The 27,877-nt window shown below is 41.2% G+C and overlaps 1 protein-coding gene and 1 long non-coding RNA gene across 5 annotated transcripts in view, besides 7 other annotated features; one reads left to right on the forward strand and one right to left on the reverse strand.

Moving 5' to 3' along the window:
• APTR (Alu-mediated CDKN1A/p21 transcriptional regulator) overlaps window positions 1-2,570 on the reverse strand; it is a 39,686-nt gene extending 37,116 nt beyond the window's left edge. For 2 of the 4 annotated variants that reach the window (NR_134254.1, NR_134253.1), the window contains exon 1: window positions 1,121-1,490. This is a non-coding gene — a long non-coding RNA (Alu-mediated CDKN1A/p21 transcriptional regulator). Of the gene's footprint in view, window positions 1-1,120 lie in introns of all 4 variants that reach the window. The other 2 variants (NR_134251.1, NR_038361.1) reach the window with 2 other exon arrangements.
• Window positions 779-1,674: an enhancer, noted in NCBI's record as "NANOG-H3K27ac-H3K4me1 hESC enhancer chr7:77324871-77325766 (GRCh37/hg19 assembly coordinates)". NCBI's record gives its function as "activates a minimal SCP1, AML or CMV promoter by ChIP-STARR-seq in naive H9 embryonic stem cells {active_cell/tissue: H9 hESC(naive)}" and the evidence as "EXISTENCE:reporter gene assay evidence [ECO:0000049][PMID:30033119]".
• Window positions 779-1,724: a biological region, named in NCBI's record as "NANOG-H3K27ac-H3K4me1 hESC enhancer GRCh37_chr7:77324871-77325766".
• Window positions 1,505-1,724: a silencer, noted in NCBI's record as "silent region_18327". NCBI's record gives its function as "represses an Ori minimal core promoter by ATAC-STARR-seq in GM12878 lymphoblastoid cells {active_cell/tissue: GM12878}" and the evidence as "EXISTENCE:reporter gene assay evidence [ECO:0000049][PMID:35858748]".
• Window positions 1,675-2,570: an enhancer, noted in NCBI's record as "NANOG-H3K27ac-H3K4me1 hESC enhancer chr7:77325767-77326662 (GRCh37/hg19 assembly coordinates)". NCBI's record gives its function as "activates a minimal SCP1, AML or CMV promoter by ChIP-STARR-seq in naive and primed H9 embryonic stem cells {active_cell/tissue: H9 hESC(naive and primed)}" and the evidence as "EXISTENCE:reporter gene assay evidence [ECO:0000049][PMID:30033119]".
• The window catches only part of RSBN1L (round spermatid basic protein 1 like), an 86,564-nt gene continuing 60,370 nt past the window's right edge, over window positions 1,684-27,877 (forward strand). Inside the window, exon 1 of the mRNA NM_198467.3 lies at window positions 1,684-2,280. Coding sequence (NP_940869.2) covers window positions 1,695-2,280 — 586 coding nt within the window. The 5' untranslated portion in view covers window positions 1,684-1,694. The remainder of the gene's footprint in view (window positions 2,281-27,877) is intronic.
• Window positions 1,755-1,984: an enhancer, noted in NCBI's record as "active region_26207". NCBI's record gives its function as "activates an Ori minimal core promoter by ATAC-STARR-seq in GM12878 lymphoblastoid cells {active_cell/tissue: GM12878}" and the evidence as "EXISTENCE:reporter gene assay evidence [ECO:0000049][PMID:35858748]".
• Window positions 2,195-2,514: a silencer, noted in NCBI's record as "silent region_18328". NCBI's record gives its function as "represses an Ori minimal core promoter by ATAC-STARR-seq in GM12878 lymphoblastoid cells {active_cell/tissue: GM12878}" and the evidence as "EXISTENCE:reporter gene assay evidence [ECO:0000049][PMID:35858748]".
• Window positions 2,805-2,904: a silencer, noted in NCBI's record as "silent region_18329". NCBI's record gives its function as "represses an Ori minimal core promoter by ATAC-STARR-seq in GM12878 lymphoblastoid cells {active_cell/tissue: GM12878}" and the evidence as "EXISTENCE:reporter gene assay evidence [ECO:0000049][PMID:35858748]".

Below are 27,877 nucleotides of genomic sequence, written 5' to 3' on the forward strand. Positions count from 1 at the left end.
AGTAGAGGCAGGGTTTCACTATGTTGGCCAGGCTGGTCTCGAACTCCTGACATTGTGATCTGCCCGCCTTGGCCTCCCAAAGTGCTGGGATTACAGGTATGAGCCACCGCGCCCGGCCACATTCCTTATCTTTTAAGCTAAAACCCATCTCCCCAAATTGCTTATTTTCGAAGCAAAAATCAAAGCACATGCTTACAAAACATCGAACACGCAGTGTGCTTACTAAACGCTAAAATACAGAAACCTAAAAAAACAATTCTTGCTTTTCAAACATCCATAAATAATCGCCAACGAATTTTTCCTGGCAAGTCTACGTTATAATAATAATAATATTATTATTATTATTATTATTTTTTGAGACGGAGTCTTGCCCTGTCGCCCAAGCTGGAGTGCAGTGGCGCAGTCTCGGCTCACTGCAACCTCCGCCTCCTGGGTTCAAGCGATTCTCCTGCCCCAGCCTCCCCAGTAGCTGGGATTACAGGTGCGCGCTTCCATGCCCAGCTAATTTTTGCATTTTTAGTAGAGACGGGGTTTCACCATGTTGGTCAGGCTGGTCTCGAACTTCTGACCTCGTGATCCGCCCGCCCCGGTCTCCCAAAGTGCTGGGATTACAGGTGTGAGCCACCGCGCCCGGCTATAATAATTATTATAAAATTCAAATCTTAAGGCCGCACATGGTGGCTCACGCCTGTAATCCCAGCACTTTGGGAAGCGGAGGTGGGCCGCTCACCTGAGATCAGGAGTTCGAGTCCAGCCTGGCCAACATGGTGAAACCCCGTCTCTAATAAACACAAAAATTAGCCAAGCATGGTGCCGGACGCCTGTAGTCCCTGTTACTGGGGAGGCTGAGGCAGGAGAATCGCTTGAATCTGGGAGGCGGAGGTTGCGGTGAGCCGAGATCGCGCCACGGCACTCCAGCCTCGACAACAGAGCAAAACTCCGTCCCAATAAATAAATAAATAAATAAAATAAAAATCTTAAGGGTCTAGTCACAACAGTTCAAAAGTCTCCAAAGGGAGACTCTCACCTTCAAGCTTGTAAGTAATACTAAAGTTCTAGATTTGCTGGAAGTTATCTCCTTCAATGGATTACAGCACATGATCTAGCAATAATAACGTACCTTGTCACCACATCGAATGATTTTGAACACTTCCCATCAATCGACTACCGACTAACAAAAAGAAGGACTTGATTCCCGGCAATTTTTTCTCTTCTGAACTGAGCATTCCCGAAATCCAGCTTGCTGAACGCGCAGATGCAGGGTGAGAGGCACCCCAGGAAAAATGGAAGGGAAAGTGGTACAAGTTAAAACAGTCTTCGTGGCCGCAGAGACGATCGCTACCTCGGCCATGGCAGATCTGGGGGTCCGGGGCGGGGGTTCTTCCCTGATACCCACCGGGCACGCGAGTTCACGCCAGCGACAGTGGAAAGCCCTCCCCTCGCAGCGCGCTCCGCCACTAGCCGCACCCCGCCGAGCTCTGACCTCCGAAGAGGGTCCCTGTGGCGATCCCGCCCCTTCGTCTGATGTTTGTGCCTTTGATTGGCTCTTAGGTGGATCCCTCAGCGTGGCTTGCCCAATGGAGCAATGCCGGCTGGTGGCCTGGCCGCTCCGCCCCTTCCCTACCCCTCGCGGAGGGCCCGCCCCCTGCCCCGCGCCGGCTAGCGGAGGAGAGTAAATACAACAGGAGCGCAAAATGGCGGAACCGCCGAGCCCCGTGCACTGTGTCGCTGCCGCGGCCCCCACCGCCACCGTCTCGGAGAAAGAACCGTTTGGCAAGCTGCAACTCTCCTCCCGGGACCCTCCGGGTTCTCTGTCCGCCAAGAAGGTCCGGACTGAGGAGAAGAAGGCACCGCGGAGAGTGAACGGAGAAGGGGGCAGCGGCGGGAACAGCAGGCAGCTGCAGCCGCCGGCAGCACCTTCGCCTCAGAGCTATGGCAGCCCCGCGTCTTGGAGCTTTGCCCCTCTGTCTGCTGCTCCCTCCCCGTCCTCTTCTCGGAGCAGTTTCTCTTTCTCCGCTGGCACGGCCGTTCCCTCCTCAGCCTCCGCTTCCTTGTCTCAGCCGGTGCCGCGCAAACTGCTGGTCCCTCCTACGCTGCTGCACGCTCAGCCTCACCATCTCCTCCTGCCCGCCGCCGCCGCCGCTGCCTCGGCTAACGCCAAGTCGCGCAGACCTAAGGAGAAGCGGGAGAAGGAGAGGAGGAGGCACGGTCTCGGTGGGGCCCGAGAGGCCGGCGGGGCCTCCCGGGAGGAGAACGGGGAGGTGAAGCCGCTGCCCCGAGGTGGGTGCCGTGCGGGGAGGGGGAGGGGAGGGCGCCGTGGGTCCCCGCCGCCCCCTGGCGCCCACGGGGCCCGGGAAGGGGGAGCGCGGCGGCCGCGTGCGCCGGCCTGGAGGGGCTGGGAGGCGTCCGGTTTTCAGCAGAGGATTTTGCAGTTCCCAAGGGGACAGGAAATGGAGCCTGTAATTTCGGTTGCAGAGAGGGGGATGGCCGACACTCTTATTTTCTGTATCGTTTCTTCCTCCCAGTTAGTGCGCTGCAGGATTTGTGAAAATCCATCTTGAGGACTCTCCTAGGTTTGTTTGGCTAGGGAGAGAGATGGAGGGAACGGGATGGGGGAAGGGTTTGGTTTTGTAAAAGATGCTTGATTGATTGTTAGACCACTTAGACGTGGTCGCGGGAATTCGTATTTGTGACACAGCGTTCAACCCCGGATAATCCTGTCAAAAAAGGGGTGTGGAGAGAGCACTGGCGTCAGCTGGAAGCTACCAGAGGCCTGAGCTTTTCATCCCTATTAGGGAAATGAGGTAGCGTGCAGGGCCCGAAGTGCGCTGTTTCGTAAGGTACCCTCCCTGCACCCTACTCTCCGCTGCGTATTCTTAAGTGTTTTGGGTGGTCCTGTTTGAAATACCACCCTTCTGAAAGAATTTTCAGCCATATTCTTTTTTTCCCTGCAGCAAATGATAAAACCAGGAGCTTTGACGATTTTTCGCCAGATCAAGCGGCTGCAGAATGTTTGAGCATTAGAAAAAGGCGAATTCTTAAGGGTTCTTGTCAGACAGGGTCAGTTTTGTTTTTAAATGTAGGCTAGTCGTATAATTTTTCAGGTGTTTCCACCACTTCAGCTACGGATACACAATGATCTGACAATAGTGCAACATACGGACTAGTTGAAAATCAAATCTTTATGTGATCGCAAGCTTAAAGCGCATAATCTTTATTATAAATGTGCACTGCTACACAGTGTTGTCAAATAACTCTTTTTGTTTTTTAGAAAAAGAAATGTCAAGCAGTTTCAGCATTGCTGATCTAACAGTAGCTCAGATCATGAAAAATTCTGTTTGGATTATAATGGTTTGTTTTCACAACTTAAAACATGCTGCATGTGCATGTAGCAATAGTGTCACTTCTTCCTTGATATTTTTTGCCTGTAGCAAAGCTTTAACATCTAAGCATAGCCATCAGGGACTCTGGTGCAATGTAAATATCTTTCAGCTTCTGGGAGTGTTGTTTCTAGGAAAGTGGTTTTGAGGATGGGATTTTGGTACTTTTAGTCAGGAATTCCAGGTGATTAGTATTTTAAAGCTATTTTGTTTTAACAATTTATATGTAAAATTTAGGAGATAAGTGCCTGGAAGTTTGTCCATATGCAGCTTGGTATCATCACTAGTGTTTGTGGTGTGTAAACTGCACATTTGCTGTAAGTTCTCTGAAAGAGGAAGTGAATATGAGTATTACATAGTTGGAGTAATGGAATATTTGAGAAGAAATAAGTAAGCATTCTTTAACAATTCTAACTTAAAATGTGGAGTACACAAATGGTCCTTAAAGTGAAATGGCTGTTAAAGAGGAATTTTTATAGTCTTTTCAATTACATTTAGAATCCTTCTTCTTTTGAGGGTTAACACTAATATTATTAATCCTGAATATAAACAGTGATAGGTTTTACATTAAGATGTGGGAATGATCTTTTCCCATGACCTATGTGGGTTTTTTGGAGTAGTGACAAGATATTAACACTACTGTAAGATTTTCATTTTTTCAGACACAAATGCTATCTTGTTGAGGAAAAACTATCAGAGAAAAAGATTCCTTTCCAGTGTCTTGGTGGTAAATTTAATGGTGAAAATTTTTCCCTCGTAACTTGGGGAATACTTATATCTTTCTAAAGTTTGGATTTAACTGAATTGATGTTCTGTTTTAACGAATTAAGAAGATTCTTAAATAGCGGTATTAACAAGTGGTATAGCAAGAATACATATATGCCTTTATTATAGATATAATTGCAAATATGAAAGTCCTGATTTGCAATACAATGATCATTTCTCTGTGCTTTTTGTAAAAATCTTAGTGAATGGGTGACCAAGTGTTTGTTTAGGTATATACCTCTTTTTAGTGTTGCCCTAAGTTGGCTGTGCATGGTTCAGTAACCCCTCAATTATCCACAGCTGGCTGATTGAACAGTCTGAGTCAGAACCAGACATTAGCTATAAAGACACCTAAACAAGGAAGAGATTCTCCCTCAACAAAACAAAACTGAACCACACACACTCGAAAGACCTAGCCTGCACCCCAATTTGATTAAACAATTAAGCTCCTGTATTTATTAATAGTAGGGCTTTTAAAAAGTCCTAAGTCAGAACTGCTTTATTTTTACATTGGTGACCATTCTAACAGAACGTATTTGGGTTAAATGAAAGCATGTATAAGAAAGGGCCTAGCAGGGTATTTAGTAAATGTTATTTGAGTCTGAAGCATAGTTATTAATTTTTTAACCCTATAACTAATTGAAAGATGGGTGAATGCTGATAGAGGAAGGATCATTGACAGATATGAAAGTTAAGAATGCTGAACAAGAGAATTATGAAAGTATACTAATATGGCCCCATTTAGTACCAGGGCCTGATGCCTCACAATCTCTAAGGCCATCTAATCATAGTACTGTAGCTGACTTGCGTGATAGCTTGACTCACCAAGTAAAAGTTAAATTTCTTATAAGAAGGAAAAGTGCAAAACAGTTTAGATTTTTTTTTTTTTTTTGGAAACAGAGTCTCGCTCTTGTTGGCCAGGTTGGAGTGCAGTGGCGCGATCTCGGCTCGCTGCAACCTCCGCCTCCCGGGTTCAAGCAATTCTCCTGCCTCAGCCTCCCGAGTGGCTGGAATTATAGGCACTCGCCAACACGCCTGGCTAATTTTTGTATTTTTAGTAGAGAGGGGGTTTCACCATGTTGGCCAGGCTGGTCTCAAACTCCTGACCTTGTGATCTGCCTGCCTTGGCCTCCCAAAGTGCTGAGATTACAGGCGTGAGCCACCGTGCCTGGCCAACATTTTAGATTTTTAAAACCAGAAAATAACCTGATTTTAGTGCTTACGGAGGTAATTTACTGGAGAGTTAATCAATATTCCTGTAAGACTGAATAAATTGTAGAATTGGTAAGTGTGGAAAGTAAAAGTGGACATATACCAAGGGTATCCAAAATTTAGAATTATTTTATGGCAAACCACAACAAATATTTCATTAGCTGTCAGTGTGCCTTCACTGACTCCAGTAACCAGCAAAATTTGTATAGATCTTCTAACTTTTGTTAGTACTTTTGCTTTGTATTTGTTAACTTACTTTTTTCCTTAAAATGACCCTGTGAAGTATTTCAAGACAAAACCAGAGCATTTCACTGAATTTTTGCCTTGAAAGTGTAGTTGCAGGATTTAACTCTAATGAAAATAGCAGCTTTTCTTAGAATCAAATAATTTGAGGTATATAAATGTGAGTGATGTCAAAGGGATGGGTGTCTGAAGATTTTTCTAACTACACTCTCCTCCAGTATTGTTACTGTACAATTTTAGGTTAAATTCATATTCAGAGTTTTTATCATATGACTAAATATTTGTCTCTGCTGAGGGAATAATTTACTATGATTTTATTTTCTTGTGTAACCTTTTGTTTTTCATGTCTCATTTTTTTCATTTGCTTAGTTTTCTCTGGCAGAGTCTTTCTGTACCCTCCAGTAGCTCCATAAAATGCTTCTCAGTACAATTTTCCACATGGGCAAATCTGTCAGATAAACTTACCCATTCCATTTGTTCCTGTAGACATCCCTTCTGGGGCCGGGCGCGGTGGCTCACGCCTGTAATCCCAGCACTTCGGGAGGCTGAAGCTGGCGAATCGCCTGAGCTCAGGAGTTCAACACTAGCCTGGGCAACACGGTGAAACCCCATCTCTACTAAAAATACAAAAAATTAGCCGGGTGTGGCGGCACGCACCTATAGTCTCAGCTACCTGGGAGGCTGAGGCATCGCTTGAACCCAGGAGGCGGAGGTTACAGTAAGCTGAGATGGCGTCACTGTACTCCAGCCTGGGCGACAGAGCAAGACTCTGGCTCAAAAAAAAAAAAAAAAAAACAACAACAACAACAACAACAAAAAAAAACGACATCCCTTCTGTAGCTGTCCTTACTGCTTTAGCCTGGGTTGTTTCCTCTTTAGGCCTGCTGCATAGCTGTCACCTTGGGACTTTCCTTAGTTGACATTCTGGGAATTTCTTTAACTTTTGTTGAATTTTATTTTTCCGGATCTCATGCCTTCCTTTTGGTTTCTTCCTTCATTTTGGATTTTCATTTTGGATTTCATTTTTATCCTTTTACTTGACTGGCAGTTAAGAGATTTCTGCATTGGAAATAATTTTCCCTCAAAAGTTTGAAGGTGGTGTTCCCTTATTGCCTGGTTCCCAAAGTAGATGTTAAGACGTCTGATCTCCAAAAAGTTGTCTATTCTACTATCTGGGGAATGTCAATCCTTTCACTGAATTTTATAATTTATATATTTTTTTCTTTGGTGTTTTTCTTCACATCTCACTCTTCCTTCTGAACTTTCACTGAATTTTACTTTTTTTTTTTTTTTTGAGATGGAGTCTTGCTCTGTTGCCTAGGCTGGAGTGCAGTGGCATGATCTTGGCTCACTGCAGTCTCTGCCTCCTGGGTTCAAGCAATTCTCCTGCCTCAGCCTCCCAAGTAGCTGGTATTACAGGTGTGCGCCACCACGCCCAGCTAATTTTTTGTATTTTTAGTAGAGATGGGGTTCCTCCATGTTGGCCGGGATGGTCTGGAACTCCTGGCCTCAGATGGTCTGTCTGCCTTGGCCTCCCAAAGTGCTGGGGTTATAGGCGTGAGCCACCGTGGCTGGCCTTGACTGAATTTTAAAGTTTTAGCTTTTGTTTTTTTGAGACGGTCTTGTACTGTCGCCCAGGCTGGAGTGCAATGCAGTTTTGGCTCCCTGCAACCTCTGCCTCCCAGGTTCGCATGATTCTCCTGCCTCAGCCTCCTGAGTAGCTGGGACTACAGGCGCACACCACCACACCCAGCTAATTTTTTGTATTTTTGAGTAGAGATAGGGTTTCACTGTGTTGGCCAGGCTGGTCTCCAACTCCTGACCTCATGATCCACCCGCCTTGGCCTCCCAAAGTGCTGGTATTACAGGTGTGAGCCACTGCGCCTGGAAAAGTTTAAGCCTTTAATAAGAATTTTTAAGAGCTCCTGTCCTTTGTTTCAGTATTATAGTATTTTGTTCCTTTTTCATGGGTGCAACGTTTTCTGTTTCCTCTTCAAGGATATTAATTACAGCTTCTTTGAGGTGTTCTTCTGTTCTCCCTATTATTTTTGGTTTTTCTTACTTATTTCTGTTTGTTTTGGTTGCTTTCTTTTAGTTGGAGGTTTTGTTCAGATCTTTGTGATCATGAGCAAGGTTAATGACTAATGGACTGCTGTGTTTTTAATCTTCATTTCTTTTCTCTGGGTGGTGGGCAAGAAGGCTTTCAGTTTCTTCAGATAGATGTCCTTTAATTTTCCTGTCTCTTTGTGGGTGGAATGATGGAGAGAGGAGGGGTGTCTTAGTCACTCGGGCTGCTATAATAAAATACCATAGAATGGGTGACTTAACAGAAATTAATTTTTTTATAATTCTGGTGGCTGGAAGCGTGAGGTCAGCATGCCATCATGGCCAGGTTCTGGTAAGGGCTCTTTTCCTGGTCTGTAGGTGACTGCCTTCTTCCTGTGTGCTCACATGACTTTTCCTATAATGGAAAGAAAAATCTCTTCCTTTTCTCTTTATAAAGCTACCAATTTTATTGGATTGGGACTGTGCCCTTTGACCTCATTTAATCTTAGTTACCTCCGAAAAGCCTTATTTTCAGATACAGTCACATTGGGCATTAAGGCTTCAACATATGGATTTTGGGGAGGCATGATTCAGTCCATAGTGAAGGGCTTGGCAGAGGTAATGAGTTTGTATGACAGGGTTCTAGCGCTTCATGGGGGAAGAAAGCTACAAGTCTTGTCATTCATTTCATAAGTTTTTACCTAGTCTCCCTGTTTTCATACCAGCATTTCACTTCTCTTTTCTGTGAGGGATACCCCTCATCTTGGAGCCACTCTGATTCAGTTTTACTGAGGACCATACCTCTTGTTTCCTTAGGAGTGTGTGTTTGTGGGTATTCTGCCCTATTTCCTAGCGCCCTCTGATTTCTGAGCTTTTCTGGGGTATTGCAGGATAAAGAGGATTGTTTGTCATTATCTCTCCCATTATGCTAAGGCATTTACCATTCTACCATCAGCTTTTTGTCTTTATACATTGTATTTCAGGTAATAGTTACAGTATCTCCTAGTTATGTCAGACGTGGAGTGTGTGTGTGTCTCTTTTTTCCTACTGTTTGGGTTTTTTTTTTTTTTTTTTTTTTTTTTTTTTGAGAAGGACTCTCACTATTTCACCCAGGCTGGAGTGCAGTGGCACAATCTTGCTCATTGCAACCTCTGCCTCCCAAGTTCAAGCGATTCTCCTGCCTCAGCCTCCCAAGTAGCTGGAACTACAGGTGCCCACCAACATGCCCAGCTAATTTTTGTATTTTTGTAGAGAAGGGGTTTCACTATGTTGGCCAGGCTGGTCTCGAACTCCTAACCTCAGGTGATCTGCCTGCCTCGGCCTCCCAAAGTGCTAGGATTACAGGCGTGAGCCACCGCGCTCGGCCTATTTGGGTATATTTTTAAGAGACAGGAATCTTGCTCTGTTGCCCAGGTTGGAATGCAGTGGCACAATCATAGCTCAATGTAACCTTGAACTCCTGAGCCCAAAGGATTCTCCTGCTTCACCCTCCCCAGTAGCTAGGACTACAGGTGTGCAACCACGCCCCGATACACTTACTCTTTTTGAGCTGATATACATCCGTTATAAAGGGATGATATTTTCACAGGGTGATTGTTAGAATTATGTGAACATGGTATATTGTAGAACCTGGCATATTGTTAGGCATTCATAAGGGATGCTAGTTCCTGACCTTTCTTTCATACCTAACGCATTGGAGACATGTAGTTTCACTGAATTCACAAGTAAGTATAATTTGTCTAATTTTCTCATGGTGTCCTGGTTTCTGAGACCATCTGATATGTTAGAATGAACAATACTAACTTTTTGAAAGAAGTTTGTATTTCAGAAGTTTTAAGTTGATTATAATAAATCTCATTAATTTTTCACCAATCTCAAATGAATTAAACTTTTCAAGTAATGGATAAACTACCTAAAATAGGATATTGAAAAATAATGATAAACTTAAAACTTCAAAACATTTTTATTTTTGAGTATACATTAAACTTTATGTTGTATGTTTTATTTTTTCTTGAATTACAGATTGAAAAGTTTAACTTTTTAATCATAAGATTTTAAATTAATACAAAAGAAACCAGTATACATTGAATTCTGGGTGTACCCATTATGCTACTTCAACAGTTTTTTTCACCTCCGCTCCTCCATTAATTTATTTATTTTTGGCTCTAGCATTTTAAAGCATATTCCAGACATAAATAATTTCATTAAGAAACAATTAGAGCTGATTTTTTTTTCCCATTAAGTAACTAATAGTGCTTATAAAGTTTAAATTGTGGCCAGGCGTGGTGGCTCATGCCTGTAAACCCAGCACTTTGGGAGGCTGAGGTGGGTGGATCACCTGGGGTCAAGGAGTTCGAGACTAGCCTGGCCAACATGGTAAAACCCTGTCTCTACCAAAAATACAAAAATTAGGTGTGTCGGGCGCCTGTTATCCCAGCTACTTGGGAGGCTGAGGCAGGAGAATCACTTGAACCTGGGAGGTGGAGGTTGCAGTGAGCCAAGATGGCACCATTGCACTTGACCCTGGGCGACAGGCAACAAGAGTGAAACTGTCTCAAAAAAAAAAAAGTTGTGTGTGTGTGTGTAAATGTATAAATATAAGAGTGAGATTCTTCCTCTACCCCAAACTATCATTAATTGATGTATCTCCAATATCTTAACCCCCATACTATCATTAATTTGGTATATTGCCAGTCTAGATTCGCTTTTATATTTTCCAGATTAGCTCTTGTTAAAAAATTATTTTTAAAAATTGTGATAAAATACATGTACCTTGACTTTTTAATATGACATTGACTTTTTGAAGATACCAGTCCAGCATACCTGTTATCATGCAGATTTTCCTGTATTCATAATTTTTAAAATAATTGTCTTATTGTGGTGATATTTACTTTGTATTTCATGTAAATTGAAAGTTAACTATAAAGACTTGATTAAATTCGAGTTAAACAATTTTGGTGAGAGTGTTTCCTAGGTACTCATATTACGTTTGGATCAGGAGGCATACAGTCTTTAGATTGTCCCATTATTAATGATGCTAAATTTGATTACTTGATTGAGGTGACCACTAGGTCTCTCCATTGTAATGGTTTTTTTTTTTTTTTTTTTGTGATGGAGTCTTGCTCTGTTGCCCAGGCTGGAGTGCAGTGGCTCAATCTCGGCTCACTGCAGCCTCTGCCTCCCGGGTTCCAGTGATTCTCCTGTCTCAGCCTCCTGGGTAGCTGGGATTACGGGCGCATGCCACCATGCCCAGCTAATTTTTGTATTTTTAGTAGAGACAGGGTTTCACCATGTTGACCAGGCTGGTCTTGAACTCCTGACCTCAGGTGTTCTGCCTGCCTCGGTCTCACGATTACAGGCATGAGCCACCACGCCTGGCCTGTAATGGTTCATTTTTATATTTGCATTTAGCTTGTAATCTGTGGGGTGATGCTTTGTGAATATCCAATTCCCTAATTGTCTTTTACTTAATAACATTTTCTTTTTTGTTTTTTTCTGAGATGAAGTCTCACTTTGTCGCCAAGGCTGGAGTGCTGTGATGTGATCTTGGTTCACTGTAACCTCCACCTCCCAGGTTCAAGCGATTCCTGCCTCAGCCTCCCAAGTAGCTGGGATTACAGGTGCCTGCCACCATGCCCGCCTAACTTTTTTATTTAATGTTTTTTTTTTTTTGAGACGGAATCTTGCTTTTGTCGCCCATGGTGGAGTGCAATGGTGCGATCTTGATTCACTGCAACCTCCGCCCCCCAGGTTCAAGCGATTCTCCTGCCTCGGCCTCCTGAGTACCTGGGATTACAGACGCCTGCCACTACGTTGGGCTAATTTTTTGTATTTTTAGTAGAGATGGGGTTTCACCATGTTGTCCAGGCTGGTTTCGAGCTCCTGACCTCATGATCTGCCTGCCTTGGCCTCCCAAAGCTCTGGGATTACAGGCCTGAGCCACCGCGCCCAGCAACTTTTGTATTTTTAATAGAAACAGGGTTTTACCATGTTGGCCAGACTGGTCTCCCAACTCCTGACCTCAAGTGATCTGCCTGCCTCGACCTCCCAAAGTGCTGAGATTACAGGTGTGAACCACTAGGCCTGGCCTTAATGGTATTATATTGTTAATTATCCCAGCCTAACCATTTCATTGGGGGTTAAAGAATGATGCCAAATGATTTCTAAATATAAAATGAATTATTCTGGGGGGTGGGAAATTCAGTATAAATTGCTCCTCCTATGTCTAGTTTAAAATTTGGCAATCTATTTTGATTTCAGATACCAGAGTAAATACTGTAAGTTTATTGTTACCTGTATGGTCAGAATCTTTTGGTAAACTCTTTTATTGAATTCTTAATTCACCATAGTTTGAATTTTGGAAGGCCACTTGCACAGTGCTTGTAGATAAAGATTGATTGTAGTAGGGCAATTACAGTTGGTAATCTATTACAATATTGGCAACATGGCCAAAAATAAAAAAGCCCTGCCAGTTTTTAAATATAGCAAATATATATTAATGATACTGTGTATAATTTAGAATTATAATCTCTATTCCATAATGTCCTCTCTTGGCTAATGTAAATTAACTGTATACCCGTATGAATTCCCATTAAACTAGATTTTTTTTTTTTTTTTTTTGAAACAGAGTCTCACTCTGTCACCCAGGCTGGAGTGCAGTGGCGCGATCTTGGCTCATTGCGACCTCTGCCTCCCAGGTTCAAGTGATTCTCATGCCTCAGCCACCCAAGTAGCTGGACTTACAGTTGTGTGCCACCACGCCCAGCTAATTTTTGTATTTTTAGTAGAGACAGGGTTCCACCATGTTGACCAGACTGGTCTTGAATGCCCGACCTCAAGTGATCCATCTGCCTTGGCTTCCCAAAGTGCTGGGATTATAGGCTTGAGCAACCGTGTCTGGCCTTGAACTAGATTTTATAAAGTCCTTCAGAGCAGGTATTGTTTTAGTGATCATTTATGACCTTTCCTTTACTCTCAATGATTAATCTGAAGAAAAAATATATAATACCTTTTTATTAAGAAATTAATTTTATCAGCCATCTTTGCATTGCATATTTAAGTAGCTACTTTTGTTAGCTTTTTTTATAGAAGAGTATATATTTCCTGTAGATATTTAACTCAGAGCCACTTTCACTGGTTTGTCATTGGAGCAATGTATAGAAAGCAGATGTCCTGGGATAATATTCTGGTTGAATTAGTGATGAATTTTATATCTTAAAGGAGTAAATGTTCACTATTACTCAATTTTCTCATTTGATAATAATGAAAGTACCAAAATTTGTAAACTTTGTCAAGCACTTCTTTCTTTTTTTAAATTATAGATGACTGGCATCTATATCAAGCACTTTCGAGATAGGTCATAAGCTTATGCAGTGAGTACTTGGGTGCACCATGAGCTGGGATATGAGCTCTTTGAGGACAGAAACAATAATAATAATAGCTAAAATGTATAGACCTGTACTCAGCACTTTACATATACTGTGGTTTTATATAATTTTCACAAGTCCTTTAAAGTTTAATTAGATATTAGCCTTTCATAAATACTGTATGGAAGTTCAGAAAATTTAAATATAAAATAAGTTGTAAATCTAGGTTTCAGATCTTTAGATAGTCTGATTTCAGAGCCCCAGTTCTCAAATACCTTGCAAACTTTGTTAAATTTGTTTTTAAGTCACCTTCATCCAGAATCGTACTTTGCGTTGTGAGACTACCAAATGAATGAACTGGGTTTTGGAGGAAGAGTAGAATTTAGGTAAATGGAGATGATGGAGACAGGCTTGTTTGGGGTAGGGGGTGGGATGGTGTGAATAAGATTGTAGAGGCAGGAGGGTGCGTGGTGTGTTCGGTGGTGTGTGAAGAGAACCACTGGCTAAGATTGATGCTTTTGTACGGAATTGGAAGTTAAGATGGCATGGCAGTTGAAAGTTGGCCACAGTGTGCCTTCCTTTTGCCAGGATGAGACTATTTTTTTTTTTTTTTGAGATAAGTCTCGCTCTGTCACCCAGGCTGGAGTGCAGTGGCATGATCTCGGCTCACTGCAAGCTCCGCCTCCTGGGTTCATGCCATTCTCCTGCCTCAGCCTCCGGAGTAGCTGGGACTACAGGCGTCCGCCACCGCGCCTGGCTCATTTTTTTGTATTTTTAGTAGAGACGGGGTTTCACGGTGTTAGCCAGGATGGTCTCGATCTCCTGACCTTGTGATCCACCCGCCTCGACCTTCCAAAGTGCTGGGATTACAGGCGTGAGCCACCGCGCCCAGCCGAGTTCAGACTATTTTGTGGGCAACAGCAAGACATGGTTTTTTAGGAGGGTGATAATATATTCAAATTGGTATTTTAGCAGTCATAACTTTGGCATTGTGTAGGATGGATTGGCTGAGGGAAGAATTGGAGACAGATATTGAAGACTACTGTATTAGTTAAATGAAGTGATTTTACTGATAAAATGATTGGTATACTTGGACATGGCAAGGAAAACCTAGAGAGAAATATATGATAAAGCATCTTGATTATTGAATATGTAGCAAGAAAGAAGGATTCATAGATATTTTCATGGCTTCAGATGAAGAGAATAAGCATATCACTGAAGAATTGAGAGTTGGCCCACAGAACTGAGTTTGAAATGTAGGCAGGTACCTTATATTAGAGTTTTGTTATCAGATAGAACTCAAAATTAGTGGTGAGTCAGTGGTAAGGGTTAAAAATAACTGCTCGACATAGAAGGGATTCTGTTTGTGTGTGTGTGTGTGTGTGTGTGTGTGTGTGTGTGTGTGTGTGTATGTATGTGTATGTGTATGTGTGTCTGCCTGCCTGTGTGGAGGGGACCCTTTTAGAACTCTCCTTACAGTGGCAGATAGCAGTAGTTATTTTTTTCTTTTCTTTTTTTTTGAGACAGAGTCTTCCTGTGTCACCCAGGCTGGAGTGCAGTGGCACAATCTTGGCTCACTGCAACCGCCACCTCCTGGGTTCAAGTGATTCTCCTGCCTCAGCCTCCCAATTAGCTGGAATTACAGGCACCCACCACTACGCCTGGCTAATTTTTGTATTTTTAGTAGAGCTGGGGTTTCACCATAATGGCCAGGCTGGTCTCAAACTCCTGACCTCAGGTGATCCACCCACCTTGGCCTCCCAAAGTGCTGGGATTACAAGCGTGAGCCACCGTTCCCCACCAATAGTTACTTTTTTTTATGAGGAGCAAATAATCTAGAATCCTTCTTAGTTCCTAGGTAAGCAATTAACTGTTCAGAGTCTTCCAGCCCCACCCCCTAATTTTCCTTATTTGTCTTCTGCCACTAAGTTTCAGCATTTGGTTTGGTTTTGGGCCCTTTGTACTCTTCTTTCTGGCTTTTGCTAATTGCCCTGGTATTTTTCTAGTGTCCATTGTTAGCACTCCTCAAATTTTAACTTAGTCCATTTTTAAATCTATATAAATTGCCTCCTTGACATTTAATATGTCCTTAGATATTTTTTAAACTGTAAAATTAACGTGTTCAAAACTTTTAGTCTTCTTTATCCAGATTTGTCTTGCTATGTATGTTCCTTGTCTCAGTACCATATACCTAGTGGCTCCGTCTTGGAAACTGGATTTGTACCCTCTGCTCTCATTGAACTTGTGGCCAAATCTTGTTACCACTCACTGTCTTTCATATCTTTCCACTTTTGCTCTGTCTTTTCTACTAGTTTTAGTTCAAATTACCATTATCTCTTGCCAGGATTATTGCACAGTTGCCTCCTTAGTGGGCTCCCTATTTCAGATCCATGTGCTTTCACTTCATTCTTCATGCTATATAGTCAGAGTGATAACCAGATATCTAAATGCATATAGTCTACAGACATACCACCCTGAACCCTGTATCTCATCTAAATGCATGTCTAATCATCTCACTTTTCTGTTTATGGGATGAAGTTCAGATTCCTTGAAATGTCTTCCACAGCTCTGGATGATCATATTCTTGTTTTGTTCTTCAGGTTCTCCTCAGTGCTCCTCGCCGCCTAGAACTTTCTCTACCCGTTTTCTTTCCATCCCCAGCTCCACACTTTTACTACACCTAGCTAATGTCTGCTCATCTCTCTAGGTCTCAACTTGAGAGGGAGGCCTGTGCTCCTCTATGACTAGGTTAGGTTCCCTTCACTTTGTTCTTCTCTTATCCTGACTTTCTTTGCTTCATTTTCTTGTTTGTTTTTTGTTTTTTTTGAGATAGAGTCTCGCTCTGTTGCTCAGGTTGGAGTGTAGTGGCGCGATCTTGGCTCACCGTAAACTCTGCCTCCTGGATTCAGGTGATTCTCCTGCCTCAGCCTCCCGAGTAGCTGGGATTACAGGCGCCTGCCATCATGCCTGGCTAATTTTTGTATTTTTAGTAGAGATGGAGTTCCACCATGTTGGCCTGGTTGGTCTCAAACTCCTGACCTCAAGTGATACGCCCGCCTCAGCCTCCCAAAGTGCTATACAGGCTTAAGCCACCGTGCCCAGCCTTCTTTCCTTCATTTTAGTAACTCGTTTGTCATCTTTGCTAGACTGCAAGTTCTGTGAAAGCTGGGTCTGTGATTATCTTCTTTTGGATCAGACCTTCAACTTCTGGATACATATTTGGGAACTGAATGACTTGCAGTATATTTCAGCCCTTTTTGCCTGCTCAGAAGAGATGCCCGATTATCATTTAGAAAAACAATTGGCTGGTATTTCAAACTGAAAACAGCAGAAGGGTGATAATGGGATAAGAAGTTGACCAGCAGCTCATAGACAACAGGCAAATTGTCAAGTGGAAAGGAAATAAACTGTGGGTAAATAATAACCAAATTATATTTGACAAATTGAGTTATCAGAATTGCCATTTTGTATACTCTAACTGCACATAGTTGAAACTTAGCACTACATTGTATAAAAAAGATATTTTGCATATTAATTTTTTTTTTTTTTTTTTTTTACCATTTTTATTCTTTGGCACATAGTCTTGCTGTCACCCAGGCCGGAGTGCAGTGGCTTGATTATAGCCCACTGTAACGTCGAACTCCTGGGCTCATGCGGTCCCCTTGCCCCAGCCTCCTGAGTAGCTAGGACTACAGGTGAGCACCACTACACCTGGCTGATTTAAAAAAAGTTTTTCATAGATATGGCTTCTTGCTGTGTTGCTCAGGCTGGTCTTGAACTCCTGCGTTCCGGCAATCCTCCTGTCTTAGCCTCTGAAAGTACTAGGATTACAAGTGTGAGCCAAAGTGCCCAGCCTGTATTGTTAAAGCTGTGTTAACCAACAACAGTTTGGGAATGAATAAATAGAAGTAAAGGAGGGAATACTTTTTCTTATTTTAGAATAGTGGCATTTTGAGTAATTGTTCTGTGTTCAGAAGTAACCATGTTTAAGTACAGTGTAAATTTTTAGTAAAATTTTACCTGTTGTGCATATTTCCATATATATAGAATTATGAGTGAAAACATACATGTTGTGTAATATACAATGGAAAAACCATAGGACTGAGAATCAGGAGGCCTTAGGAGCAAATTCTTGCCCTACCACCCATTTGTGATCTGAAGGAAAGGAGTAAAACCTGTGTGAGGGTAAGGGTCTTCATCTGTAAAATAAGAGGTTTGAACCAAATACTGAAAGTTCTTTGTAAGCTCGTTTGACATTTTATAATTGTATGTTTTTTTTGTAATCATAATAAAAATTGCCTAATTAAATTTTCTAATTATAATAATATATGTTCATTGTAAAAATAATTCAAATTTTAGGAAGAAAAGCATCTGAAATACTGTTGTTTTAATGATTACATTTTCACTTAGTGTATTATTTTCACTTAGTATATACATGTATATAATTTTTTATGCATATGCTTTTTTATATGTGTACAAATCTTATATATACATACATGATTTTTTTTTTTTTGAGACGGAGTTTCGCTCTGTTATCCAGGCTGGAGTGCAGTGGTGCAGTCTCGGCTCACTGCAACCTCCACTCCAGGTTCAAGCCATTTTCCTGCCTCTGCCTCCTGAGTAGCTGGAATTATAGACACGTGCCATCATGACTGGCTAATTTTTGTATATTTGTGGAGACGGGTTTCACGATGTTGGCCAGGCTGGTCTTAAACTCCTGACCTCAGGTGATCCACCCTCCTCAGCCTCCCAAAGTCCTGAGATTACAGGCGTGAGCCACTGTGCCTGGCCACATATGTGATTTTTTAATGCACACAACATTGTTTATGTGTTCTGCAACCTGCTTTTTTCATTTAGCAGTATATTAGAAATACTGTTCCATGTCAATATGTGTAGAACTATATTATCAATTTTAATTGCTTACCTAGTATTCATGTTTGCATTATATGTATAAACCATAATATATTTAACTGATACTGTATTGTGGGACATTAGATTCTTTTTTCTGTTGTAAATGATGCTAAAATAAAACAATGTGTAGGCGTTTATTCACTTAAAACTTAGGATAAAGTTCTAAAAGTTGAATTATAGGGGGTAAGGGGAAAGTTAAAGATACATACACTTTAAATTTTGATAAATAATGCTTTCGTGAAAGATAAACAATTTGCTGTCTCACTTGCATTATATATGAGACTGTCCATTTTTTACATTCTTTCCAATGCTAAGTTTTCTCAGATTTCAAAATCTTCCATGTTTTGATTGTTGAAGATTTTATTATTTGCATTTATTAATGATTAAGATTAAACATTTTTTCACATTTCACTTATATGTTCATGTGCTTTGCCAAGTCTAAGGGACTTATCCTTTTCTTTTTTTAAAAATTGATTTGTGAAACTTTGTATATTAGAATATTAGCCCTTTACTGTTGCAATTTTTTTCTCTCTAAACTATCATTAGTTCATAAACATTATTTAAGGGGGTGTACTTGGTCTTTCATACAGAAGTTTTCTGTTTTTATGTACTCAAATTCATCAGTAATTTAATTTTTTGGCTTTTATTTCTCTCTCTTCCTTTTTTTTTTTCCTTTGAGACAGAGTCTCACTCTGTCGCCCAGGCTGGAGTGCAGTGGTGTGATATCAGCTCACTGCAAGCTCCACCTCCCAGGTTCACGCCATTCTCCTACCTCAGCCTCCCGAGTAGCTGGGACTACAGGCGCCCGCCACCATGCCCGGCTAATTTTTTGTATTTTTAGTAGAGACGGGGTTTCACCATGTTAGCCAGGATGGTCTCGATCTCCTGACCTCATGATCCACCCACCTTGGCCTCCCAAAGTGCTGGGATTACAGGCGTGAGCCACCATGCCCGGCCTCTCTCTTCCTTTTTTTTTTTTTTAAAAATAGAGACACAGTCTTGCTGTGTTGCCCAGGCTGATCTCAAATTCCTGGCCTCAAGCAGTCCTCATGCCTTGGCCTCCTCCCTGTGTTGGAGTTATAGGTGTGAGCCACCTCGCCTGGCTCTTCTGGCTTTTATTTCTTAGAAAAGTTATTTCTACCTTTAGTTCATAACAATATTTTCTTAAATAGCCTATTGTTATTTTATATGACATTATTGATTAAAATCTTTGCTCTGTTTAGAATTTATTTAGACACAAAATTAGGAATCCAAATTAATTTTGTTCCAGTAATTAGTTGTTTTAACATCATTTATTGACTAGTCCTTCCTTTCCATAAAGATGTAGAATGCTAATGTTTATCATACTAAAATCACATGTGTAGTTGGGTCTGTTTTTAGATTTGCACTTTTTTACATTTACCTCTGTAAGTTTGTTTCTGCTCAACTAACACCCTCATTACTCTATCTTTAGGATAGATTTGATATCTATAGGGCAAAAATCCCGATATTCTTATTCAGAATTTTCCTGGCTTTTTGAAACATTATTGAATTATAATTTACATAAAATAGATTTGCCCTTTTTAGGTATATAGTTTTATGAGTTTTGATGAATAGTTGATAGCCACCAGTAGAGTAATGACATAGCAGATTTTTATCACCGCAGAAAGTTCTCTCTTGCTACTCAGTGCTCTCCCATCATCTCTAATCCAAGGGTGATCTGTTTTCTGTCTCAGTAGTTTTGCCTTTTTTAGAATGTCATATAAGTTGAATCATACACTAGCTTTTTCGGTCTAGCTTTTTTCACTTGTTATATTACTTTTGAGATCCATCAGTACAGTTGCATGAATCAGTTCATTTATTTTTATTTCTGAGTAGTAATTCCTTTTGTGGAGATAGCACAATTTGGTGCTACAAGTTGATGGACATTTGGGTTGTTTCTAGTATTTGAAGATTGTGGGTAAGCCTGCCCTAAACATTCACATAGAAATCTTGTAGTGGGTGGCCGGGCACGGTGGCTCACACCTGTAATCCCAGCACTTTGGGAGGCTGAGGCGGGCCGATCACGAGGTCAGGAGATTGAGACCATCCTGGCTAACACGGTGAAACCCCGTTTCTACTAAAAATACAAAAAAGTTAGCTGGGCATGGTGGCAGGCGCCTGTAGTCCCAGCTACTCGGGAGGCTGAGGCAGGAGAATGGCGTGAATCCGGGAGGCGGAGCTTGCAGTGAGCTGAGATGGCACTACTGCACTCCAGCCTGGGTGACAGAGACTCCATCTCAAAAAAAAAAAAAAAAAAAAATCTTGTAGTGGGCTGGATGTGGTGACTCATGCTTGTAATCCCAGTACTTTGGTAGGCTGATATGGGCAGGTCACCTGAGGTCAGGAGTTTAAGACCAGCCTGACCAGCATGGTGAAACCCTATCTCTACTAAAAATACAAAAATTAGTCAGGTGTGGTGGCATGTGCCTGTAATCCCAGCTACTTGGGAGGCTGAGACATGAGAATTGCTTGAACCTGGGAGGCAGAGGTTGCAGTTAGCTGAGATTGCACCACTGCAGTCCAACCTGCAACAGAGTAAGACTCTGTCTCAAAAAGAAAGAAAGATTAGAGTGGATGTATGTTTTCATTTTTCTTGGGTAAATACCTAGCAGTGGGATATTTTGTGTGTGTGACAGAGTCTCACTTTGTCGCCCAGGCTGGAGTGTAGTGGTGTGATCTCGGCTAGGTGATTCTTGTGCCTCAGCCTCCCAAGTAGCTGGGATTACAGATGCCCGCCACCACACTCGGGTAATTTTTTAAAAATTTTTAGTCAAGATGGGGGGCTCACCATGTTGGCCAGGAAGGTCTCGAACTCCTGGCCTCAAGTGATTCGCCTGCCGTAGCCTCTCAAAGTGCTAGAATTACAGGCACGACACTGTGCCTGGCCCTAGCAGTGGAATTGTTGGGCTGTTAAGTGTAAGTGGCCTGTTAAGTGTGTTTAAGTTCATAAGAAACTGCTGAACTGTTTTCCAAAGTGGTTGTATTTTTCATTTCTGCCAGCTCTGTTTTTTCCTTATTCAGACCTCCCCTCAAGAAAGAATCCTAACTTGATATTGCCAGTTTAAAAATCTTCAGCCATTCTAGTAGTTGCATAGTAGTAGTTCATTGTAGTTTTAATTTACATTACCCTAATGAATAGTGATGTTGAGCATCTTTTCATGTACTTATTTTCTATATATATCTCTTTGATGAGTTGTCTGTTCAAAGTGTCTGTTATTGGGTTGTTTTCTTATTATCAAATTGTGAAAGTTCTTTACATATTCTGGGTAGAACTCCTTTATCAGATACATGTTTTGCAAATGTTTTCTACCATTCTCTGTCTTTTCTTTCTCTTAATACTTTCACAGTTTTTCATAGCAGAAATTTATAAATTAATGAAGCCCACTTTATACTTTTATTTCTTTTATGGTTTGCATCTTTTGTTTCTTAACTTCGAAAGCTTTTCCTAACCCTAGATCACAGGATTTTCTCTTAGATTTCTCTAGGCATTTTATAGGTTTAGGTTTCACATTTAGGTCCGCAATGCATTTTGAAAACTTCCGTCTGTAAGGTTTGGGTCAAGATTCCCTTTGTCTTTTTCTTTGTTTTTTTTGTTTTGTTTTGTTTTTGTTTTTGTTTTTGACACCGTCTCTCACTTTTGTCACCCAGGCTGCAGGAGTGTGGTGGTGCGATCATGGCTCACTGCAGCCTTGAACTCTTGGGCTCAGATGATCCTCCCGCCTCAGCTGTCTGGCTCCTTTTTTTTTTTTTCACCATTTTTATTAACTTGAGAATTATTCTGTAAAGTTCTTCTACCCACTGTCACGCTCTAGATATTTTCATTAAATTTATTGATTAAACTAGGAGGAAATTATAGTCATGACAGAATTATCTTTGTACTTAAAAGCTGCATGTGTATCTTCATCTTTTTTTTTTTTTTTTTTTTTTTTTTAGACGGTGTCTTGCTCTGTCACCCAGGCTGGAGTGCAGTGGCTCAGTCTTGGCTCACTGCAGTCTCCGCCTCCTGTGTTCAAGCGATTGTCCTGCCTCAACCTCCCGAGTAGCTGGGATTACAGGCGTGCACCACCACGCCAGGCTATTTTTTGTATTTTTAGTAGAGACGGGGTTTCACCATGTTGACCAGGTGGTCTTGAACTCCTGACTTCAGGTGATCTGCTTGCCTTGGCCTCCCAAAGTGCTGAAATTACAGGCATGAGGCATGAGGCATGAGCCACTGTGCCTGGCCTATCTATTCTTACATTCTTTTTTTTTTTTCAAAGGAGACAGGGTCTTGCTCTGTTGCCCAGGCTGGAGTGCAGTGGCGTAATCATAGCTCATTGCAGTCTGGAACTGCTGGCCTTAAGCTATCTTCCCATCTTAGCCTCTTGAGTAGCTAGGACTACAGGTGAGCGACACCACTCCCAGCTGTTTTTTATTTTATTTTTTGTAGAGATAGTCTTGCCATGTTGCCTGGACTCAAGGAATCCTCTCTCCTTGACCTCCCAAAGTTGGGATTACAGGCGTCAGCCACTGTGCCTGGCCGTAGTCTTATATTATTTTATATCGTCTTAGAGATTTTTATTGGTATTTAATACAGATTGTAAGTTTTCTTCTAGTATTTTTATTTTTATGATGGGAGTTTTTCCTAGTATATTTTTGTGAGATTATTACTAGTATATAAAAAAGACTTTGGTTTTTCTACATATAATTGGTAATTGGATATATAATGTTATAACAGTGAGAAGCTATACAATTGTAATCAGAAACAGAATGAATTATAGTAAAATACTTTGTGGTACTTCAAGCATTGTTTTTGTCTTTGAAATCTGAGATTAGCAGAGATAAATATTTTTGGTTCTTAAATGCTGTGGCAAAGTGTTAAGAAAAATGGCAAAATCGATAAATACAATTTCTGCCTCCAAACAATGTAGCAGGATACTTATAATATATACTGCAGTAAGTTAAATACCATAAGTAGAAAGTTGTGGTGTGGAGTGAGGGCAGGCAGATACTAAGGCAGTTAAGAAAGGGACAAGGTCCCGGGTGTGGCTGCTCACACCTGTAATCTGAGCACTTTGGGAGGCTGAGGTGGGCGGATCACCTGAGGTCAGGAGTTCAAGACCAGCCTGGCCAACATGGTGAAACCCTGTCTCTACTAAAAAATATATAAATTAGCTGGGCGTGGTGCTGTGTGCCTGTAATCTCAGCTACTTGGGAGGCTGAGGCAGGAGAATCACTGGAACCTGGCAGGCGGAGGCTGCAGTGAGCCGAGATCGTGCTGCTGCACTCCAGTCGGGGCGACAGAGCGAGACTGTGTCTCAGAAAAGAAAGGGAGAAGAGATGTAGGAGAGGAGATATTTGAGAGAAACTTTGAAAGGGCAGTATGGTAGGATTTCAGCAAAGAGATAAAGGAGTTGTGGGGAGAGAGAACATTATATGAACTAATATTCATGGCAGCTAGATAGGAAAAGCGAGCTCTACAATGTCACAGAAGTTATGGGAGGAAATAATTTCAAGGCGTTTGATTGTGTTTATAGCTCTGACATTATATATTAAGCCTTTTTTCTTTTAGCCCTTCACTTCTTGATTTTAATATATCAGTGTATTTTGTTTTATGTTTTTTGAGACTGAGTCTCACTGTTGCCTAGGCTGGTAGGCACTGGTGCAATCACGGCTTCAACTTCTGGGCTCAGTTGATCCTCCCACCTCAGTCTCCTGAGTAACTGGGACTACAAGTGCACGACCACACCTGGCTAATTTTTTTGTATTTTTTATAGAGATGAGGTTTTATCATGTTTGCCAGGCTGGTCTCAAACTCCTGGGTTCAAGCAATCTGCCTGCCCCGGCCTCTCAAAGTGCTAGATTACAGGTGTGAGCCACCGCACCTGGCCCATCAGTGTATTTTGTAAGACAGTTTTCTACTTTAACATTTTTCTAGAGTCAGTGCATGTCTTGTATATACTTAAACAAAACAACTTTTTCATTATCTATAATAAGACTTTGTGAAGGCTGAATTATCTCTTAATGCATAACAAACTGCCCTAAAATTTTGTGGTTTGAAACAATAACCATTTTATTATATCAGATGATTTTGTGAATCACAAATTCTGGCATGATTGGCTGGGTGATTTCCTCTGCTTCACGCAGTGTTGACTGGAGTTGCTCATTGGTGTTGAGTTGGTGGCTGGTCTGGTATGGAAGGTCCAAGATGACTTTACTCACGTGCCTGTTGCTGTGTTATGTATGGCTAGATACTGAACTGAGTGAACCCTTCTCTTTCTCCAAGTTGTTTCAGGACCATTCCACATGGTCTGTTAATTAGGAAGTTGGATTTCTTACGTGGCAGCTCAGGACTCCAAGAGTCTTGACACCCAGCGACATAGGTGGAAACAGCAAGTCTTCTTATGACTTAGCTTTGGAAGTCTGAACCAATTTCTCACTGCACATACATTAGGGCACATAATGTATGTGTGTTTTGGAAAATTTCACTTGGAGCACATTCCAATTGAATTAAGATTGATAAAGCATCTGTAGGTGTGTATCTAATGATGTTAGCTAAATATACAACTTTTAAAAAATGTAGAACTTTAATTGGTTGTGTGAAAAAGTGTAACTAAGAGTATATAACAAGTACAACGAGAGTCTGGTTCCCATAGTTACATATGCCCACACATATTGTTATCATTAAGAACTATGTATATGATTTACCATTTGCATTACAGAGTATAATTTAAATTGTAATAAATAATGTAATTGTATAATGTGGACTTAGAGGTCTAAGAATGCCCCAGGTTGTATATATGTGAAACAATCACGTTTGATATAGTAGCTATAGACACACGATTCAGTGATTTAAAGTGATTTAATTCTGTAACCAGATACCACCTACAATATCTTAGTACTTCATATCTTGGTTTTATAATATGTTGAGAACAGACGAAATGCTTTTATTTCTGCTCTGGAGACCAATCTTTTCTGATAGTTTAGTGAGGAAAACCTGAGCTAAAATTTTTCACAGGCCACTTTATCATGTTATGCCTGGCATGGTTTTTATGTATATATGTATTTAAAAAAATTTTTTTTAGAGACAAGGTCTCACTCTGTTGCTCAGGTTGGAGTGCAGTGGTGTGATCATGGCTCACTGCAGCCTCAGACTCCTGGGCTCAAGTGATCCATCTGACTGAGCCTTCTGAGTAGCCAGTACTATAGGTGCGCACCACTGTGCCTGGCTAATTATTGTATTTTCCGTAGAGAAAGGGTCTCGCCATATTGTCCAGGCTGGCCTTGAACTCCTGGCCTCAAGCCATCCTCCCACCTTGTCCTCCAAAGTGCTGGGATTGCAGGTGTGAGCCACTGTTCCCAGCTGTATGTGTCCTTTTTTATTTTCCTCTTACTCTTTGTGTGTTCTTGTGACTATTGTTATTGTAGTATTTTTGTAACTCTTTGTTACTGGGTGCTTTTGTAATAAAATTCTGTTTATATTTAATAATAATAGCTACATTTGTCCAGTGCTTAAAATTAGGTATTGTGCATAGTGTTGGAAATAATGCATATGTTGCCTTGTTATAAAAATTGTAAAAGGCTGGGCGTGGTGGCTCGTGCCTATAATCTTAGCACTTTGGGAGGCCAAGGTGGGTGGATCACCTGAGGTTGGGAGTTCAAGACCAGACTGACCAACATGGAGAAACCCCGGGTCTACTAAAAATACAAAATTAGCTGGGCGTGGTGCTGCATGCCCGTAATCCCAGCTACTCGGGAGGCTGAGGCAGAGAATCGCTTGAACCCGGGAGGCAGAGGTTGCGGTGAGCTGAGATCGTGCCATTGCACTCCAGCCTGGGCAACAAGAGCGAAACTCCGTTAAAAAAAAAATTGCAGAAGACAAGTGTTATTATCTATACAGATGAGATTACTGAGGCACAACACGGTTAAGTAACTTGCTTCATGTCACTTGATCAGTTATTGGCAGAGCTAGAATTTGAGCTTAATATGTATAATTACAAAGCCTGAATTATTTCTATTATATCACAATACATTTGGGGTTTCTTTCTTTTTCATTTTCTTTTTCTTTTTTTTTTTTTTTTTTTTGAGACAGAGTCTCACTCTGTCACCCAGGCTCGAGTGCAGTGGTGTGATCCTGGCTCACTGCAGCATCAGCCTCCCAGGTTCTCATCCCTCAGCCTCCTGAGTAGCTGGAATTACAGGCGTGGGCGACCTTGCCCGGCTACATTTTGTATTTTTAGTAGAGATGGGGTTTCACCATTTTGGTCATATGACCTCAAGTGATCTGCCTGCCTCGGCATGCCAAAGTGCTGGGATTACAGCGGTGAGCCACCGTGCCCAGCCTACTGCTTTTTTTCTTATGTGGATTTAACACTTATTTATGGCCCGCTTTGTGCTTGGGTGGTGGTGGAAGAAAGGGAGATACAAAGAGGAGAACTTTCTGTTTCTTGCCTTGAGATAATTTTTAATTTAATTGGAGAGATAAATAGCTGCAATGTAAAAGACACTGCTCATTGTTGGTAATTTTGTTTTTTTTTTTTCTGTGTATTGCTTTTTTGTCTTCTATGATTGCCTTCAAATGCTTATCAATAGTAATTTCCTTCTTTTTACTTAAATCTTTTGCCTCCTGGAAACTTCATTCACATTGAGCATCACTTATATGCAAAGCACCATTCTAGGTTCTACAGAAGGTAGCAAAGAGCAAGATATGATAATTGCAAAGGAGCTTAGAAACCAGGAGGGCAGATTGAGCAGTTATACAAAAAATCAGAATTCAAATTATAGAAGAGGGAGGAGGAGGATATGATCATTTGTGATCATGGGCATCAAGGAGTGCTTAGTGGAAGAAGCTAAATTTCACCGTAATCTTACAGGATGTGTAGGATTTGGGCAGGAGGAATTGGGATGGGCAATCGCATTTTAGCTAAGGGATATATTAGTAAAAATATTGGAGTAAGACATTTGAGTAATGATGAATCAAGTAATCCGGAATCTTGTTATATATGTGGGTGAATAGTTGAAGAAAAGGCTAAAAGAAGGTGAGTCTTAACTGAAGATTCTTGAATGACATATTATGGGAGTTTTCTGTTTTTAGATAGGCAGAGGTAAGCTGAGTTGGTTTATTCATTCGTTTTAAGCAGAAGATAGTGACATGGTAAACTATACATTTAAGGAATCTTTTTTGGTCACTGTGCTTACTTGGTGGAAAGGAAAGAAACTATAGGTACGGAAACCCTTTCTTTTAAAAGCTAGTGAGAATACACTAGGTGGTGACTCTGGAAAGGGAAAAAAAGATGGAAATATTTTAACGAAGTATAAACTGAACTGGTCAAGTGATTTAGTGTTAGGGGAAAATTGAAGAAAGAAGTATTATTAGTGTTACTGAAAATTTTTTGTATTTGGATGTTGGATGAGGATGTGCCATTAACATAGAGAATTGGAAGGAGAACTTGAACTTTTTTATATTAGAAAGATGATATTTTGGTGTTAAATATTATGGAGATGAAGATGTGGAGTTTGGCAGAGGGGTTGGGTTGGGAGATTAATTTGGAGATTAGTTTGCCACAGGGTTATAGTTTACATCATGTGAGTGCATTTTTAGAGGCAATATAGAGAAGAGAGAGGAATGCCTAGGAGAGATCCTAGGTAAATGTGCAGGTTTGGATGGTGGGATTATGAGAATGAGGGAGGAGTCAGGTAGGATAGTACAGTTTCAGTGAAACTTAGGGAGAAATTTTGAGAAGGAATTGATACTGTTATGTTGCAGTGAGGTCCACGGAAAAAAGGGCTGAGAAGCCACTGGATTTTTTAGCTTTGATTAGCTGTGTTAGCGAGGGGCTGTGATAAATCACTTCTTTCCCATTTACTGTTTGTGAAGTCCTTTCTCTTCTTTTTACTGTATCCTTCATCTCCTTCAATTTTTATTTTAGTGTATGTAATTGTAATCATTTTGTA

Source organism: Homo sapiens, chromosome 7, assembly GCF_000001405.40.
Source record: "Homo sapiens chromosome 7, GRCh38.p14 Primary Assembly".
In the NCBI taxonomy this organism is placed as follows: Eukaryota; Metazoa; Chordata; class Mammalia; order Primates; family Hominidae; genus Homo; species Homo sapiens.